Source organism: Homo sapiens, chromosome 19 (genome assembly GCF_000001405.40).
Source record: "Homo sapiens chromosome 19, GRCh38.p14 Primary Assembly".
NCBI classification, from domain to species: Eukaryota; Metazoa; Chordata; class Mammalia; order Primates; family Hominidae; genus Homo; species Homo sapiens.
The window spans coordinates 31,223,243-31,239,982 of NC_000019.10; the positions used below are offsets into that span (position 1 = coordinate 31,223,243).

General features: G+C 38.8%; 1 protein-coding gene across 2 annotated transcripts in view; it reads right to left on the bottom strand.

The window, feature by feature from the left end:
* The window catches only part of TSHZ3 (teashirt zinc finger homeobox 3), a 201,002-nt gene that overhangs the window by 73,367 nt on the left and 110,895 nt on the right, over positions 1-16,740 (bottom strand). For both annotated transcript variants that reach the window (NR_138035.2, NR_138036.2), the window contains exon 2: positions 4,763-4,898. The gene's annotated coding sequence lies outside the window, so the exon portion shown is untranslated. The remainder of the gene's footprint in view (positions 1-4,762; positions 4,899-16,740) is intronic.

Below are 16,740 nucleotides of genomic sequence, written 5' to 3' on the forward strand. Positions count from 1 at the left end.
AAAATATTAAGTCTTTAAGGCTTATCTGACACTGTAGAGCCCTCTGTATTTGTGGGGCCTCATGTGTATACCTTCTCCCAGGTAGGTCTGTGAATGATGGACTCTAATTTTAGTTCTTATAACGTGTGTGTGTGTGTGTGTGTGTGTGTGTGTGTGTGTGACAGAGAGAGGGAGAACTAAATACATTATGTACATCTGAAAAGTCACCAAAGACAAGAAAAAAAAAGTAGGTATATATTTAGCTAAGTGTTCTGTGGATTTTTTTTCCTTTTGAAAAACTCCAGTACAAGTGTTCAAGCCAAGTAGAAGCCTTTCACTCCAGTTATTTATTTATTTTGCTCTCTCCTTTGGAAAGCGATGCACATGTATTATGAAAAGCAAATATTATACTCTTTATTGTCAAACAAAGTTTATAAGGTTCGTGTGTCAATGATGGGGCCAAGGACCTCACACAGAAAGTTTCCTGTCCTGGAAGAATTTTTCATGGAAGATAAAATATGGAAAGTGGGGGGAATGCTGACTGCCAGCAAATAGAATCCTCCCACTCCTAATGGCACCCGTGGGGTTGGATGAGCTCAGGCCTTGACTGTCCTAGCTGGAGCGGGGGTGGGGGTGATGGGGGTTCTTCCCTATAGACTAGCATGGGCCACTCAGTGAGGGGAAGGACCACAGTGGAAGTTGAAGGGTGTTTACTCAGAGGAGGCTACTTGCGTCCAACTCCTTGCAGCTCTAACATCCAGATGCACTCGGCAACCAGGCCTTTGGACACAGGAAGTAGAAGCAAGGTGATGAAAAATGAAAGGCATTCTTTGGCCTTGGAGCACACAGGCATGGAATCCGGTAGGAGTACAGTTACTATTTACAGGAAACTGGCACGGAGATATAACTTTTGCTAGACAGGTTGGTGCCATTGTGTTCTGGCACCATGAAAAGCATTAAATAAGGTTTACCATTTGTCTAAACCATGCTGTATGCACTCTACTTTCTGATATGTATTGCTTTCTCCAACTGGGAGTTTCACTAAAGTCCCTCCCTAGGGAGTAGAGAGCGGGAGTTATAGTCAACCATGGTTAATTTGTGCTTTGTGCTTTGTTTATCCAAACCATATGTCTAGATGGTTGTAATTCTGTGTCATTGGCTGTGTAATGCTCTCTGTGCTAAGATATCTGTAAATAGCAACAGCTCAATGCATAATCACGTTGGTATTCTGAAGGGGGAAAAGGAAGTTTCAAGTGACGTTTGCTGTGAAGACAACCACTCCAATGATGTCTCCATACATGTCTCCCAGGACATAATCTCTTAAGTATTAATCATGCAGACCTATGTGGATGGCACAGGACCTCACAGAAGCCAGACGTGGTGGGTCAATGCTACCTCCAATTCTAATACTCTAGCCTTAGGGCTTGAGGACACTCTAGATATTAAATCATATCATTGCTATTCAGCAGCCCCAGTAAGTAGTTTGTGTACCAAAGAGAAATCCTTTTATGTTGGTGCTAGAAAAAATTAAAAACAATAAAACAAGGGGAATCCACCAAAATTTTCTTTTATAATATTTTCATTTAAAAACTTTATTTGATTCACCAGCTTTCTATCAAGAAAAGACATTGTGCTCAAGAGCTGGAGGTGATAAAGTCCAATGTGAATTTCTTAAATGGCAAATTACCAGCCAGGATGAACACACAAAGGCTTCAGCTTTTATGTACGGCCTAGAAGCCCCAGGGCCCCTGTTCCCCCTGAGCACCCAAGAGCAGCTTCTGAACACTGCAATGTGCTGGCTGGAGGCCTCTGGAGAAGAGGAGGCCAGACCTGTGAATTATGGCAAATTCTACTGCACCCTGACTTCAGCAACCTCCTAAATCAGAAAAGGGGGCATTAAAAATGTTTTTCCTTCATGCAAATGCTGCCATTCATTTAGAAGTGAGGCCATGTTACTTCAGGTGCCCATAGAGCATGATCATTTGAGCATCCCGAATGGCATTATAGGAAGCCTGGCCCCAGAGTCAGCCTCAGACGGTGGAGATGTGACAATCTCTTTGAAGTCCCAGGGAATGAAAGGAGTGGTCTGCAAACAAGCCTAGGGGGATAAGCTGAATATATTTCCCCCAGCCTTGGCAGAGACGCTGCAATCCATAGCTGGCTCACATTGCCACACACATCTCAGCCTGTCACATTGCCCAACAGTCTTGGTGCATTTCGTTCACCAACCCTTTTACCACAGCAACATGTTCAACGCATCTTATGGCCTCAAACCCCAATCTTGGCATACAGCCTTGTCCTGCACTTTATGGAAAAATGAGAAGCCATCGTATAGGAACAGGAGCATCTCTTTCTTGCATGACAGAATCTATCGGCCCATCTGCACCTCCCCATCCTCCCCCACCTTCCTTCAGTTACAAAGGTGAAGTTCGCCCTTCTCCTTCCTGAGGGGCCTTTTCCCTCCTGCCTTCTGACAGTTTCCATCAACAGATATCTATTCCTTTGCTTACAGTTTCCACTAGTCTCCCAGTCTTAAAATTCATTTCCTTTGCTCTCACTCATTTTCCTCCTGCTGTTGCCTTATCTCCTTACCCTTCCCAATCTGGCTTAAAAGCGGTGTGTCAGCTGGGCACGGTGGCTCATGCCCGTAACCCCAGCACTTTGGGAAGCCAAGGTAGGTGGATTGCTTGAGGACAGGGGTTTGAGACCATCCTGGCTAACATGGTGAAACCCTGCCTTTACTAAAAATACAAAAATGAGCAGGGTGTGTTAATGGGCACCTGTAATCCCAGCTACTTGGGAAGCTGAGGCAGGAGAATCACTGGAATCGGGAGATGGAGGTTGCAGTGAGCCAACCTCATGCCACTGCACTTCACCCTGGGCAACAGAGCAAGACTCCATCTTAAAAAAAAAAAAAAAGCAATGTGTCCATATGATGCTGTCCCCAATTCCTCACCTCCTTTCAATCTTCAACCCACTCTTTCGACTCCTTCAATTCCACTTCTTCCCATACCATTTGATATGGTTTCTGTGTCCCCACCCAAATCTCATCTTGAATTGTAGCTCCTATAATTCCCACGTGTTGTGGGAGGGAACCAGTAGGAGATAACTGAATCATAAGGGTGGTTTCCCCCACACTGTTCTCATGGTAGTGAACAAGTCTCACAAGATCTGATTGTTTCATAAGGGGTTTCCTCTTTTGCTTGGTTCTCATTTTCTCTTTGCCTGCCACTATGTAAGGTGTGCCTTTTGCCTTTTGCCATGATTGTGAGGCCTCCCCAGCCACATGGAACTGTGAATCCATTAAACAACTTTTTGTTTGTAGATTACCCAGTCTCAGGTATGTCTTTATCAGCAGCGTGAAAATGGACTAATACACCATTCCATCAGAACTTCCCTGCTAACCGCTCTAAATCCTATATTCCATTCTTGCCTTCCATCTGAGCACCAACCACAAGTCAACATCTCTACTTGAACACCCTGTGTTCAAGACATAAGGTGACCATATGTCTTCATTTGCTCTGGGAAGTCTCTATTTACATGTGGTGTCCTGGCATAAGTAGTCACAGCACCCCTTTCAGACTCAAAAACATCTTAGACAATAAATTTTAAGGTCACATATATTAGCAGATATAGGCATCTGTGATTTGTCTGTCCAATCTGTTTATTTCCTTATTTTCATTTTTTGCTTTTAGAGAACTATCCCTTGCAGATACTTTTTCTTTTTTCTTTTTCTTCTCTTTCTTTCTTTCTTTCTTTTTTTTTTTTTTTTTTTGAGATGGAATTTCTCTTTGTCATCCAGGCTGGAGTGCAGTGGTGCCATCTCGGCTTACTGCAACCTCAGCCTTCCAGGTTCAAGCGATTCTTGTGCCTCAGCCTCTCAAGTAGCTGGGACTACAGGCCTGTGCCACCATGCCTGGATAACTTTTTGTATTTTTAGTAGATATGGGGTTTCACTATGTTGCCCAGGCTGGTCTCGAACCCCTGACCTCAAGCCACCCACCCGTCTCAGCCTCCCAGAGTGCTGGGATTACAGGAATGAGCCACCACGCCTAGCCCAAATACCTTTTCAAAATTGTCTGGTCATATGACAGATCTACCCAGAATCAGATTGGTATAAAGAGAGTTACTGAGTCAAAAGTGGGTCAAGACCATTCACACCCAACAAATTTTGCTGACACAATTTGAGGAGGAAAAAAACCCTATTTTCTCACTGGAATTGCTATGCTGGTAGAATAGAATAGAAGCCTGAAGAGACTGGGCCAACTCTGCCACCAAACTTAGGGAGAGCCTGCTAGAAGAGAAAGGCAGCACAGTGAAAGCACAGCTTACAGCAACAGAAGGGGGAAGAAAGAGAGGATGGGAGGGAAGAAGAGAGAGATCCCTAATGCCAATGTTGAACACCAGGGGCTGAAAATCTGTTCCACCTGTGGGCTTTATATTGCGTACCCCAAAACTCTTCTTTTTCACTCAGTAAAGTTGGAGGTAGGTTTCTCTCACTTAATGACAAGACATCCAGGATCTACACAAGCATGCCTTGAACTCAGCTCCAGGCAGTCCTATCCCTGCTGTCCCCAAATCTATTCCTACTCCACCTTTCAAATCTCAGCAACCATCCAGTTTCTTCTGCCAGAAACCTTGGAATCATCTTGGACATCTTCCCTTCTCTAGCGCCATCATGAAATCTTATTGGTTTATTTTTATGACCAACATATGTGTAAACTCTGGTTCCTTCCCTCCATCCACACGGACCCCCAACAAGTCCATAAAACCATCATCTTACCTGGGCAACTCAACAGCCTCCCAGTGGGTCTTCCCATGGCCATTCTCACTCCTAACATTCTCCGTGGAACATCTAGAGTCATCTTCTTAAACTTCAAATCTGCTTATGGTGCACAAGGCCATGCTTCACTGGGGAGCTGCAAGGAGAGTAGAGGGAGCATTGCCAAGTTAAGTTAAGAGCTTCAAGACATTATTGAAGCTCTTGTAATTCCTGAATTCACCAATACAAATTCTATTTCAGGCTGGGTGTGGTGGCTCACACCTGTAATCCCAGCACTTCTGGAGGTCAAGGTGGGCAGATTGCTTGAGCCCAGGAGTTCAAGACCAGCTTGGGCAACATAGTGAAACCCTATGTCTACAAAAATTACAAAATTTAGCTAGGCATGGTGGTGTGTGCCTGCAGTCCCAGCTACTCCAGAGGCTGAGGGGGGAGGATCACATGAGCCCCGGAGGCAGAGGTTATGGTGAGTTGAGATCACACCACTGTACTCCAGCCTGAGTGACAGAGTGAAACCCTGTCTAAAAAAAAAAAAAAAAAAATTATTAGAGACAATATTAGCATGGTTCCCAAGAATATGTGTCTTATTTTTCAATCATTATTTGCTTTATTGTGTTTCAATCAGAAGCTTAGGGTCAAACTTTCTTCCTTGAGCTGGGATATTTGAACACTGAAGGTTACTAGCACCTTCCCATGGACAGATTGCAGAGAGTGGTGTTCAGATTTTAAATAAAAATCTCTACCAATGCTGCCAGGATGTTAAGCAGAGCCTGCACAGAAGGATTGTACATGGGTCAGTGACTGCAGGGTCATTTGTAGACCCTGGTATTTGAAGTTTCCTACAGAACCTTCCTGGAAGTGAGTGTTCTCAAAGGAGGGGCATGCACTACCTCGCCACTCTAATCTTAGATCCTAACCTCTCTCCATCTCCTCCTTCCTCAAAACAGACCTGTGGGTTCCAAATTTGATTGAAACTGAGTCCAGTAATATTAGTCCTACCTGACTGGGATGCTGTCCTGACCCAGTGGTTTTAGAAGGGAGTTTTATAGAAGAAGATATGAGAAGGGTAAAATTAGAGGGGTGCATGCATGTTCCTGAAAGAGAAGACTAAACATTGTAAGGGGGCCATTGCCTCAATTTGTGTATAAGTCTATTATAATTCCAATCCAAATTTTAATAAAGTTTTCTTTGAAACCTGACAAAATGATTCTAAATGTTGTCTGGAAGAATAAATGAATAAAATAATCAAGTAAAGTTTGACCAAACAGAAAGATTAGAAACATTTGCAAGGACATTAAGATAGATTCTAAAACTACGACAATTAAAATAGAATGTTATTGGACCAAGGATGGGCAGGTAGAAAGAACATTAAGAATCTATTCCATAATAGGAGAGCTTTTTCAAGTCTCTGGGGGAAATGATGCGGGGACAACTGCGAAACACTAAAGATAAATTGATTCATCACTGCTTCACACCACATCCTAAAATAAATGTCAAGCGGATTATAAATTTAAAAATACATATACAAATGAACTAGAAGGAAATATAGGTGCATGTTTATCTGATCTTGTAATGGGAAAATCTTTTAGGTAGTGTATTACCATAAAGTAGAATCTTGATGAAATTGATCACATGTAAATTCAAATATTCTGCCATAACTATATCTAAGAGCAAATAGGAAACTGGAAAAAGAAACTTGCAATGTATGTAACAAAGGGTTTACATTCTTAAGTCTCTGAAATGTCAATGTGGACAAAAGACATGATTAGAAAATTCACAAAGGAAGTACTAACAGCAAAAATATGAAAAATGTTTAACTTTGCAAGCTGTCAAAGATGTGCAAACTGAAACAATAGTGAAACACGATTTTTCAGCTATTACACTGACATTTTCTAAAAAAGAAAAGATTATGTAGAGCCTGGGAAAATGGGCACCCACAGATTGCTAGGATGATCCTAAAGTGATACAATTGTTCTAGAGGGTAACTTGGCAAAATTCTTTAAAATATGTGTAGTTCATTTACCCAGCAATTCCTCTTCTAGGAATTTATCCTCAGAAAATAATCATAAATAACTGCAGAAATTTATTTAAAAATGTTCCCTGGAAGGTTGTTTATAAAAGCAAAAAATTAAAAACAAAATAAACGTCTGAAAATATGCAGCTGCTTAAATAAAGTATGGTGCATTATAATCCAAGGTCATAAAAAAATCATACTGAGAATTATGTAGTGACTTCAGAAAAGGTTCACAATATATAGTTAAATGGGGAAAAAAGTTGCAAACCCATCTGTACATTTCATTTTTTTGTTTTTAAAAAATGTATGTATGTAAATATATGCATAGAAAAAGACTTTAAGAGGATAACCAAAAAGTTATCAGTGATTATCTCTGGGCGGCAAAAGTGTTGGTGATTTTCATTATTCCTCAAATATTCTGCAATAAAAATGTATTACTTTTTGTAACAAGATTCTTAAAAACATTAACTTTTATTTAAATCCTGCAGAGAAGTCAGGTATCAAAAAATGGTCTTCAGGAAGCTTTTTCGGGGAAATTCTTACAGCCAAAAACTGGGGAATTGCTGGGGAAAGTGGTCAGACCTAAATGCAGCTGAGCTAGGAGAAGACAACCCACCTCTCAGGGCCACGGTCCTGGAGTCAGCAGCCCCATCACTACCCCTGCTTCCCATCACTGCTTTTTTTTTTTTTTTTTTTTTTTTTGAGACGGAGTCTTGCTCTGTTGCCCAGGCTGGAGTGCAGTGGCCCAATCTCGGCTCACTGCAAGCTCCGCCTCCCGGGTTCATGCCATTCTCCTGCCTCAGCCTCCCAAGTAGCTGGGTCTACAGGCTCCTGCCACCACGCGCGGCTAATTTTTTTTTGTATTTTTAGTAGAGACGGGGTTTCACCTTGTTAGCCAGGATGGTCTCCATCTCCTGACCTCGTGATCCTCCAGCCTCGGCCTCCCAAAGTGCTGGGATTACAGGCATGAGCCACCGCCGCTGGCCCCCATCACTGCTTGTTTTATGAGTCATGGGATGGAAAAGTGATATGGACTAAAAATAATAATAATGAGGATGATCACAATAATAATGCAGATGATAATATATTAATAGAAAACTGACATTTATTAAGCACTTGGTATTTTCCAGACCCCAAGCTAAGTGCTATACAGATAGCATCTCATTTAAAGCTCACAACAATCCATTGGCAAAAGGATTATTGCCTGGGATTCATAGAGAAAGAAAACTGAGACCAGGATGGTGGCACGATGATGTGATTCTCCCACACTTTCAGCTCTCAGGAGGCCGAGCGGAATTACAAACATACCTGAGTCTGATGCCAAAGCCCCTGGCTGATCTACATTGATTAGGTGCTTACAGGAGCATTTTTCCAAACCCACATGCCCCGATCCCGACTTCACCACCCAGGCCTCAATTTCCTTTGTGATTCAGCCTCGTATTATGTAGCCTGACTCCACTGTGAAAGATTTGTGGCAGTTGCATGATGTATGAGGTGCCATTTGTAAAAATATTATTTAGTGTAAAACATGATGTTTTTTCTCCTGATTTACAAGTTGGATTTATAAATCTGCACTTCTCACTATCTGAGTTATATATCTTGCCTCTGATTTATAAAACTTGCCTGTAAATCTTCCCAGCAAAGTTTTGATTCAGAAATCATTATTTTAAGAATTAGATTTAGTTAAAACATTCAGCTGCTTTATAGGGGAGGAAATGGATTTACATAACTCCAACCGGAGCTTACGGATCCTATAGCAGCTTCACAAGTCGTGCCTAGGAATTCCTAAGGAAAATGTTTTGATTTAAGGGCATTCACTTCACACTTTAGCTACACCTGACTGATTTATATCACCAAAGCCATACAATGATGATCCATTTTATAAAAATCCCACTTTTCTTTAATTCCAGACCCTGATTTATATGCCCTGATTGGGTATCTGTAATGCTCTCAGTCACAGGCTCCTCTGCCCTAGAGCTGGTCTTGGGGAAAAGGCCTAAGAATCAGGGATGGTCAGAATAAAGGGAAATTTCACCTCCTTCTTGGTTTATCTCCCTTATTCCAAGGGAGCCAAAGCAGGTTGCCTCCTGCCCCTGAGCTAGAGCCAGCTAACCCTGGGGGAGCGTCTGTAAGATGCCACAGCCTTCTCCAAGAATGTGGTGGGTTCTCTCCATCCCTGCTGCTCAAATGAAGAGCGGATTGCTCCCAAGTAGAAGAAATCGCCAGTCCAGAGAATCGAGGACATGTTTGATGAGTAATTGCTGGCTGAAAAAAAAGTCAATGAATAAATGAACGCTTTTTAAAGAGCAGAGGCCAACAAGCAGTGATCTGACAAATAGTATAAATGAACGAAAAGGGAGGGTGTGTGAGAGCCTTGTGAGAGGCTGCTCCAATCTGAACAGGGTGGCTGTAGCTCAGCTCCACCTGGCTGTGGTTAAGTAGGATTACTTGCCCAGTATTCCCACATGTGGCTTTCCAAGGCAATCCTGAAATTCAAATGTTTATTTTAAATGACTTATTTTAAAAATCAACATTGTGCAGGTTTAGTTTAAAATAGCAAAATACACACATTTTAAATGTACAGGTCAATGGCATTTGAACAAAGTACACACTCATGCAACCACCACCCTGAGCAAGACATAGAATGTTTCCATCTTTCCAGAAATCATCCTCTTGCCTCTTAAAGTCAGTGACCTCCATCCTACCCCCTGCTCCAGTTAACCGCTGGCCTCATTTCTATCTCTACAGATATGTATTTTTTTCTGTTTTAATATAATTGGAACTTAATATAAATTGAATCATACAGAATGCATTTGTTTCCTGTCCTGTTTCTTTCACTTAGCACGCCTGTGAGTGAGATTCATCCATGCACGTATCCAGCATTTGTTCCTTTTTATGGCTGAGTAGTATTCCGTGGTCTAAATGTATTATAGTTGTTGATTCATTTCCAGTTGGTGGACATTTGAGTTCTTTCCAGACTTAAAACTATTATGAATAAAGCTGCTAGGAACATTCCTGGACCAGTCTCTTTATGGACATATGTTTTCATTTCTCTTGGGTAAAAACAGAGGAATGGAGTTGCTGAGTCATTTGGTGAGTGTATGCTTAACTTTCCATAAAGCCGCCAGACAGTTTTCAAAAGTGATTTTGCCATTTTACACTCCCTCCCCTCCCCAGTAATATATGAAAGTTCCAGTTGCTCAACATCCTTAACAATGCTTGGTCTTGTCAGTCTGTTTAATTTTAGTCTTTTAGTCAGTTTAGTCATAATTTAAGTCATTTAGATATAAAGTGGTATTCCATTTTAATCTGCATTTTCCCAATAACTAATGGCACTGAGCATCATTTCATTCACTCATTGGCCAATTGTGTATCTTCTTTTGTGAAATGCCTATTCAGAACTTCTCTTATTTATTAGTTGTTTGCCTTCTATTATTCAGTTGTAAGAGAACTTTGTAGACTCTGGATACTAGTCTTTGCCAGATATGTGCATTGCAAATACTGTCTCCCAGTCTGTGGTTTGTTATGTCTTTTTCTTGTCAATGTCTTCGGCAGGGCAAGCAATTTTAATTTGATGATGTACAACTGGTCATTTTTCTTCTTTAGTTAGTGCTTTTTGTGTTCCTAGAAATATTTGTCTACCCCTAAATTGCAGTTTTTCTGCTATGCTACCTCCTAGAAGTTCTACAGTTGAAGGCATTATGCTCCGAACCTACGACTCATTTCAAATTAATTCTTCAAAACAACGTGAGCAAAGGATTGAGGTTCATTTTTTTTCTACACAGACACCTAGTTCTTGTAGCACCATAGAAATCAGGAAGTGTGAGTCCTCCAATTTCGTTCTTTTTAAAGATTGTTTCAGCTATGTTAGGTCTCTTGCATTTTCAGATCAGTTTAGGGTAACTTTGTTAATTCCTACCAAAAAAAAAAAAAAAAGCCTGCTGAGATTTTGTTTGGAATTTTGTTGAATCTATAAGTCAGTTTGGGTACAAAGAACATCTTAACACTATCTAGTCTTCCCATCCACTAACAGGACATGTCTTTCAGTTAATTTAGCTCTTCCTTAATTTCTTTCAAAAATGTTTTATAGCTTTCCATGTAGAAATCTTGCACAGCTTTCATCAAATTAACTCCCTTCTCATTTTGAAATTTTATTTTCTAAATACTTGTTGTTCATAATAATTAACTTCATATATTCATCTTGTATTCTGTGACGTTGCTAAATTCATTTTTAGCTCTAGTAGTTTTTTTCATAAAATCCTTAGGATTTTCTATACGGATAATGATAACATTTGTTAATACATTTTTATTTCTTCTTTTTTAAATATTTCTCTCCTTTTTAAATTCGTTTGTTTATTTATTTTGCCTTATGGCATTGGCTAGGACATCCAGTACAGTATTTATGGGAAGTAAGGAGACTGAACATCTTTGTCTTATTCCCAGTCTTAGGGGGAAAGCATTCTGGCTTTAACCATTAACAATGATGGTTGCTGTATGATTTTCATAGATGCCCACGATCAGGTTGAGAAGGTTTCCTTCTATTTGCAATTTGCTGCGTGTTTTTCATCATGAACAAGTTTTGGATTTCATCAAACTCTTTTGCTGCATCTATCTACTGGGATTATTATATGATTTTTCTACTTTATTCTATAATATGTGAAATTGCTTTGATTTAATTTTTCCATGTTGGAACATCTTTGCAATACTGAGATGCAGTCTTCATATAGTGCTGAATTCAGTTTGCTAATATTTTGTTGAGGATTTTGCTTTGTGTGTTCATAAGAGATATTGACCTGTAATTTCCTTTCCTTCCAACTGCATTGTCGGCTTTTGATATCAGGATTGTGCTAGCCTAATAACATATGTTAGGAAGCAGTCACGCCTATATTTTTGGAAAAAGTCTGTGTAATATTGATGTTATTTCTTTTGTAAATCTGTGATAGCATTCATTGGTGAACTCATCACAACACCGAATTTCTTGTATGGGAAGTTTTTTTATGATAAATTCAATTATTTTATGTTTTTCCAGCTTTACTGTGGTATACGTTACAAATAAAAATTACATATATTTAAAGTATACAATGTGATGTTTTGAGCTATGTATATATCATGAAATGATCCCCACAACCAAACTAATTAACATACCCTTCACCTCGCACAATAAAATATTTTTCATGTGTGGTGAAAACACCTAAGATTAATTCTCTTAGCAAATTTCAAGTGTATGATACAGATTAATCTACTATTGTCACCATGCTGTACATTAGCTCTCCAGGACTTATGTATCCCAAATAACTGAGCCTTTGTGGGCTGTGACCAACATTTCCCCATTTCCCCCCAACCCCAACCCCTGATAGGCACCATTCTACTCTCTGTTCCTACGAGTTCAACTGTTTTAGGTTCCACATATAAGTGAGATCATGCAGTATCTGCCTGTCTGTCTCTACCTGACTTATATCACTTAACATAATGTGCTCCAGGTTCATCCATGTTGTCACAAATGATAGAACTTCCTCCAATGTGTGTATGTGTGTGTGTGTGTGTGTATCACATTTTCTTTCCTTCTCTTTTTTCTTTCTTTTTTCTTTCTTTCTTTCTTTCCTCTTTCTTTCTTTCCTCTTTCTTTCTTTCTTTCTATTTCTTTCTATTTCTTTCTTCTTTCTTTCTTTCTTCTCCTCTTCTTCTTTTTTTTTTTTTTTTTTTTTTTTAATTTGAGACAGAATCTCACTCTGTCGCCCAGGCTGGAGTGCAGTGGCACGATCTCTACTCACTGCAACCACGGCCTCCTGGGTTTGAACAATTCTCATGCATGCCTCAGCCTCCAAAGTATCTGGGATTACAGGAATGCACCAACACACCTGGCTAATTTTTTGTATATTTAGTTGCAAAGGGGTTTCACCATGTTGGCCAGGCTGGTCTCCAGTGATCCACCCACCTCAGCTTCCCAAAGGGCTGGAATTACAGGTGAGAGCTACCGTGCCCAGCCACGTATTTGTTATTCATTCATGTGTCAACGTATGTATGCTTAGGATGATTTCATATCTTGGCTATTGTGAATAATGCTACATGGGGGTGCAGATATCTCTTCAAGATACTGATTTCATTTCCTTTGGATCTATATCCAGAAGTGAGACAGCTAGGTCATGCGACAGGTCTATTTTAGTTTCTAGTTATTTTTAGTTTTTTGAGGAAACTCTGCACTGTTTTCCACAATGGCTGTACCATTTACATTCACACCAACGGTGTACAAAAGTTACTTTTTCTCCATATCCTCATCAACATTTGTCATCTTTTGTCTTTTTGACAACAGCCATTGTAACAAAGTGTCAGGTGATATCTCATTGTGGTTTTAGTTTGCATTTCCCTGATGATTAGAGACACTGAGCACCTTTTCATACACCTGTTGGCCCTTTGTATGTCTTCTTTGGAGACATGTCCATTTAGGTCCTTAGTTCATTTTTAATCAGGTATTTGGTCTTTATTGTTAAATTGTTCGAGTTCTTTTAAAATTTTGGATATTAATCTTTTATCAGATATACAGTTTGCAAATATTTTCTTCCATTCCCTTAGGAGTGTCCTTTCACTCTGTTTATTTTTTTCCTTTGCTGTAATGAAATCGGACCCTTATCTCACACCATACACAAAAATAAACTAAAAATGAATTAAAGACTCAACTGTAAGACCTGAAACTATGAAACTCCTGGAAGAAAACATAGGGAAAAACCTTCTTGTCATTGATCTGGGCAATAAGTTCTTGGCTATGACACCAAAAGCACAGGGAATGAAGGGCAAGTAATAGGTAGAATTGAGTCAAGCAAAAAGCTTTTGTACAGCAAAAGAAACAATCAACAGGCTGGGCGTGGTGGCTCAGGCCTGTAATCCCAGCACTTTGGGAGGCCAAGGTGGGAGGATCACCTGAGCTCAGGAGTTTGAGACCAGCCTGGCCAACACGGTGAAACCCCGTCTCTACTAAAAATACAAATATTAGCCGGGCGAGGTGGCACATGCCTCTAATCCCAGCTACTTGGGAGGCTGAGGCAGGAGAATCGCTTGAACCCGGGAGCAGAGGCTGCAGTGCACAGAGATCATGCCACTGCACTCCAGACTGGGAGACAGAGCGAAACTCCGTCTAAGAAAAAACAAACAAACAAAAAACAATCAACAGAGTGAAAAGGCAATTCTTTCAATACATTGGAGACTGTTCAATTTTTTATTGCCCCTTGATTCAGTTTTGGAATACACTAGTTTTAAAGTAATTTGTCTCTTTCACCTAAACTGTTAAACTTATCAGGCTGAAGTTGATTGCAATATGTCCTTATGATAATATTCCTCATTATTTCTTACTATTATTATTGCTTCTTATTATTCTTTAAAATATGCATATATTTTAAATTCTTCTAAATATGTATTAACATTCTACAGGATATGTATTAATATCCCCACTTGCACCTCTAATACTGTTTATTTGTTTTCTTTATTTTTTCATTAATTTGTCTTCCTAGAGATTTACTAATTTTATTAAGTTTGTTTTCAAAGAACCAACTTACGGCTTTGTTAATTTTCCCCATGTGAATGTTTACCATTCATTGATGTTTGTTCTTATTTATATTAATTCTGTCCTCTCTTTGCTTTGAGCTTATTTTCTTTTTCTGTCTATAAAATAGAAACATCAATAATTGGTATTAAACCTTTTTCTTTTCTAAAATAGATATTGCAAGCTATACATTCTTTTCGAAGTATTGCTTTAGCTGTACACTGCACCCAACAAAGTTTGAAATGTTAAATTTTCATCTTCATTTGCTTCAAATATTTTAAATTTATCTTGTAATTTTCACTGGCTTCTGAGTTATTGAAAAAGCTTGTTTTATTCCAAAATGTTTAGAGATTTTCTAGATATGTCATTTATATTGATTTCTAATTTAACGCCATGTGGTCAGAAAACAACTCTATCTGACTGCAATGTTATTAATTTTGCTGATATTTATTTTATGACTAGAATATTAGCTATTTTGGTGACCATTCCATGTGCATTTGAAAATAATACATATTCTGCAGGTGTTTGTGGTAGTTCTATAATGTCAATTATATAAAAATTGTGGATATTGTTATATTAATCTTTGACATCTTCATCTATGGTTTGTATATTTTTATTAATTACCAAAAGAGAAATGTTAAAATTTTTCTATCATTGTGGCTTTGTCCATTTTTCCCTTTATTTCTGTTAATGTTTCCTTCGTGAATTTTTTTTTTTTTTTTTTGAGACAGACTCTTGCTCTGTCACCCGGACTGCAGAGCAATGGCACAATCTTGGTTCACTGCAACCTCCACCTCCCAGGTTCAAGCGATTCTCTTGCCTCTGCCTCCTGAGTAGCTGGGATTACAGGCACTCACCACTACACCTGGCTAATTTTTGCATTTTTAGTAGACATGGGGTTTCACCATGTTGGCCAGGCTGGTCTTGAACTCCTGACCTCGAGTGATCTGCCTACCTTGGCCTCCCAAATTGCTGGGATTACAGGCGTGAGCCATTGTGCCCGGCTATGAATTTTGATGCCCTATGATAAACGGTATACATATTTAAAATTGTTCTACCTTGCTAGTGAATTGTTCCTTTAATCATTGTCTAATGCCCGTATTTATCTCTTACTCTTTGTCTTGAAATCCACCTTCTCTAATACCCATATAGCCACGCCAGCTTTCTTACTCTTATTGTTTGCATTGCATGTTTTATCCATCTTTTACAGTCAATGTCTTGTTATTTATTTTTAAAATGTGTCTCCTACAGATAGCATCGAGTTGGATCTCACTTTTTTTCCTAGTCAAAAATCTCTATTTTCATTGGGATGCTTAGTATATCTGCATTTTATTATTTGATGAGTTGAGGTTTAAGTTCATCTTATAATTTGATTTCCACTTCCCTAGCATGTTTTATAAAATTATTTCTATTGCTTATTTCCTGTATTCTTTGATAAATATTTTAGATATCTAATACATCTTCTCTTTTTTGTACTTAATTTTTGTGTGCTTGATGTAGGGCTACTAAAATGTGTTTTTTAAATTATCAGTCTATTTATAGTCAATATTATACCTCTTCACATTTCACACTTCCCTTCTGATACTTTATACTTCCTGTTTTACAATAAATATTTTTCCCAGGATATGATTTTTTTACCTCCTTATATCCTTCCTACAATTGCTATCCTATTTTTTACTTATCTATATATGTTAAAGGTCACTCTACAGTGTTATTATTTATGTGATAAGTAATTAGTTTTATTATGAGTAATTTAAATAAATTATGAGAATAAAAGGGAGGCTTTTATATTTACAGACTCATTTCCAATTTCTGATGCCCTTTATTTTTTACACAGATTCTAAATTTTCATTTGCTGTTATTTCTTTCAGCCTGAATGATACTATTCACTATTTCTTTTTTGCAAGAATCCTAGTAATAAACTTCCTAACTTTCTTTGTCTGAAATTATCTTGATTTCATTCTCACTTTCAGAAGCTATTTTTGCTGGATATAGAAATCTAAATTGACAGGATTTTTTTTTCATTTACACTTTATTTTTATTCTTATTTTTTGGAGACAGAGTACTGTTCTGTCAGACTAAAGTGCAGTGGTGCAATCATAGCTCACTACAGCCTCGACATTCTGGGCTCAAGTGGTCCTGCCTCAACCTCTCAAGTAGCTGGAGACTACAGGCATGTGACAACATGCCCAGCTAATTAAAAAAAAACAAATTGTGGAGATGGGATCTCACTATGTTGTCTAGGTTTGTCTTGGACTCCTGAGTTCAAGTGATTCTCCTACCATGGCCTCCCAAACACTTGCACTTTTAAAATGTAATTAAATTGACTTTTAATAGCCTTCATTGTTTGATATGAAAAGTCAACAGTAAGTTATTTTTATCCTTTTGTTTCATGTCTGTAATGCGTGTTTCCAGTATGGCGCTTTCAGTATT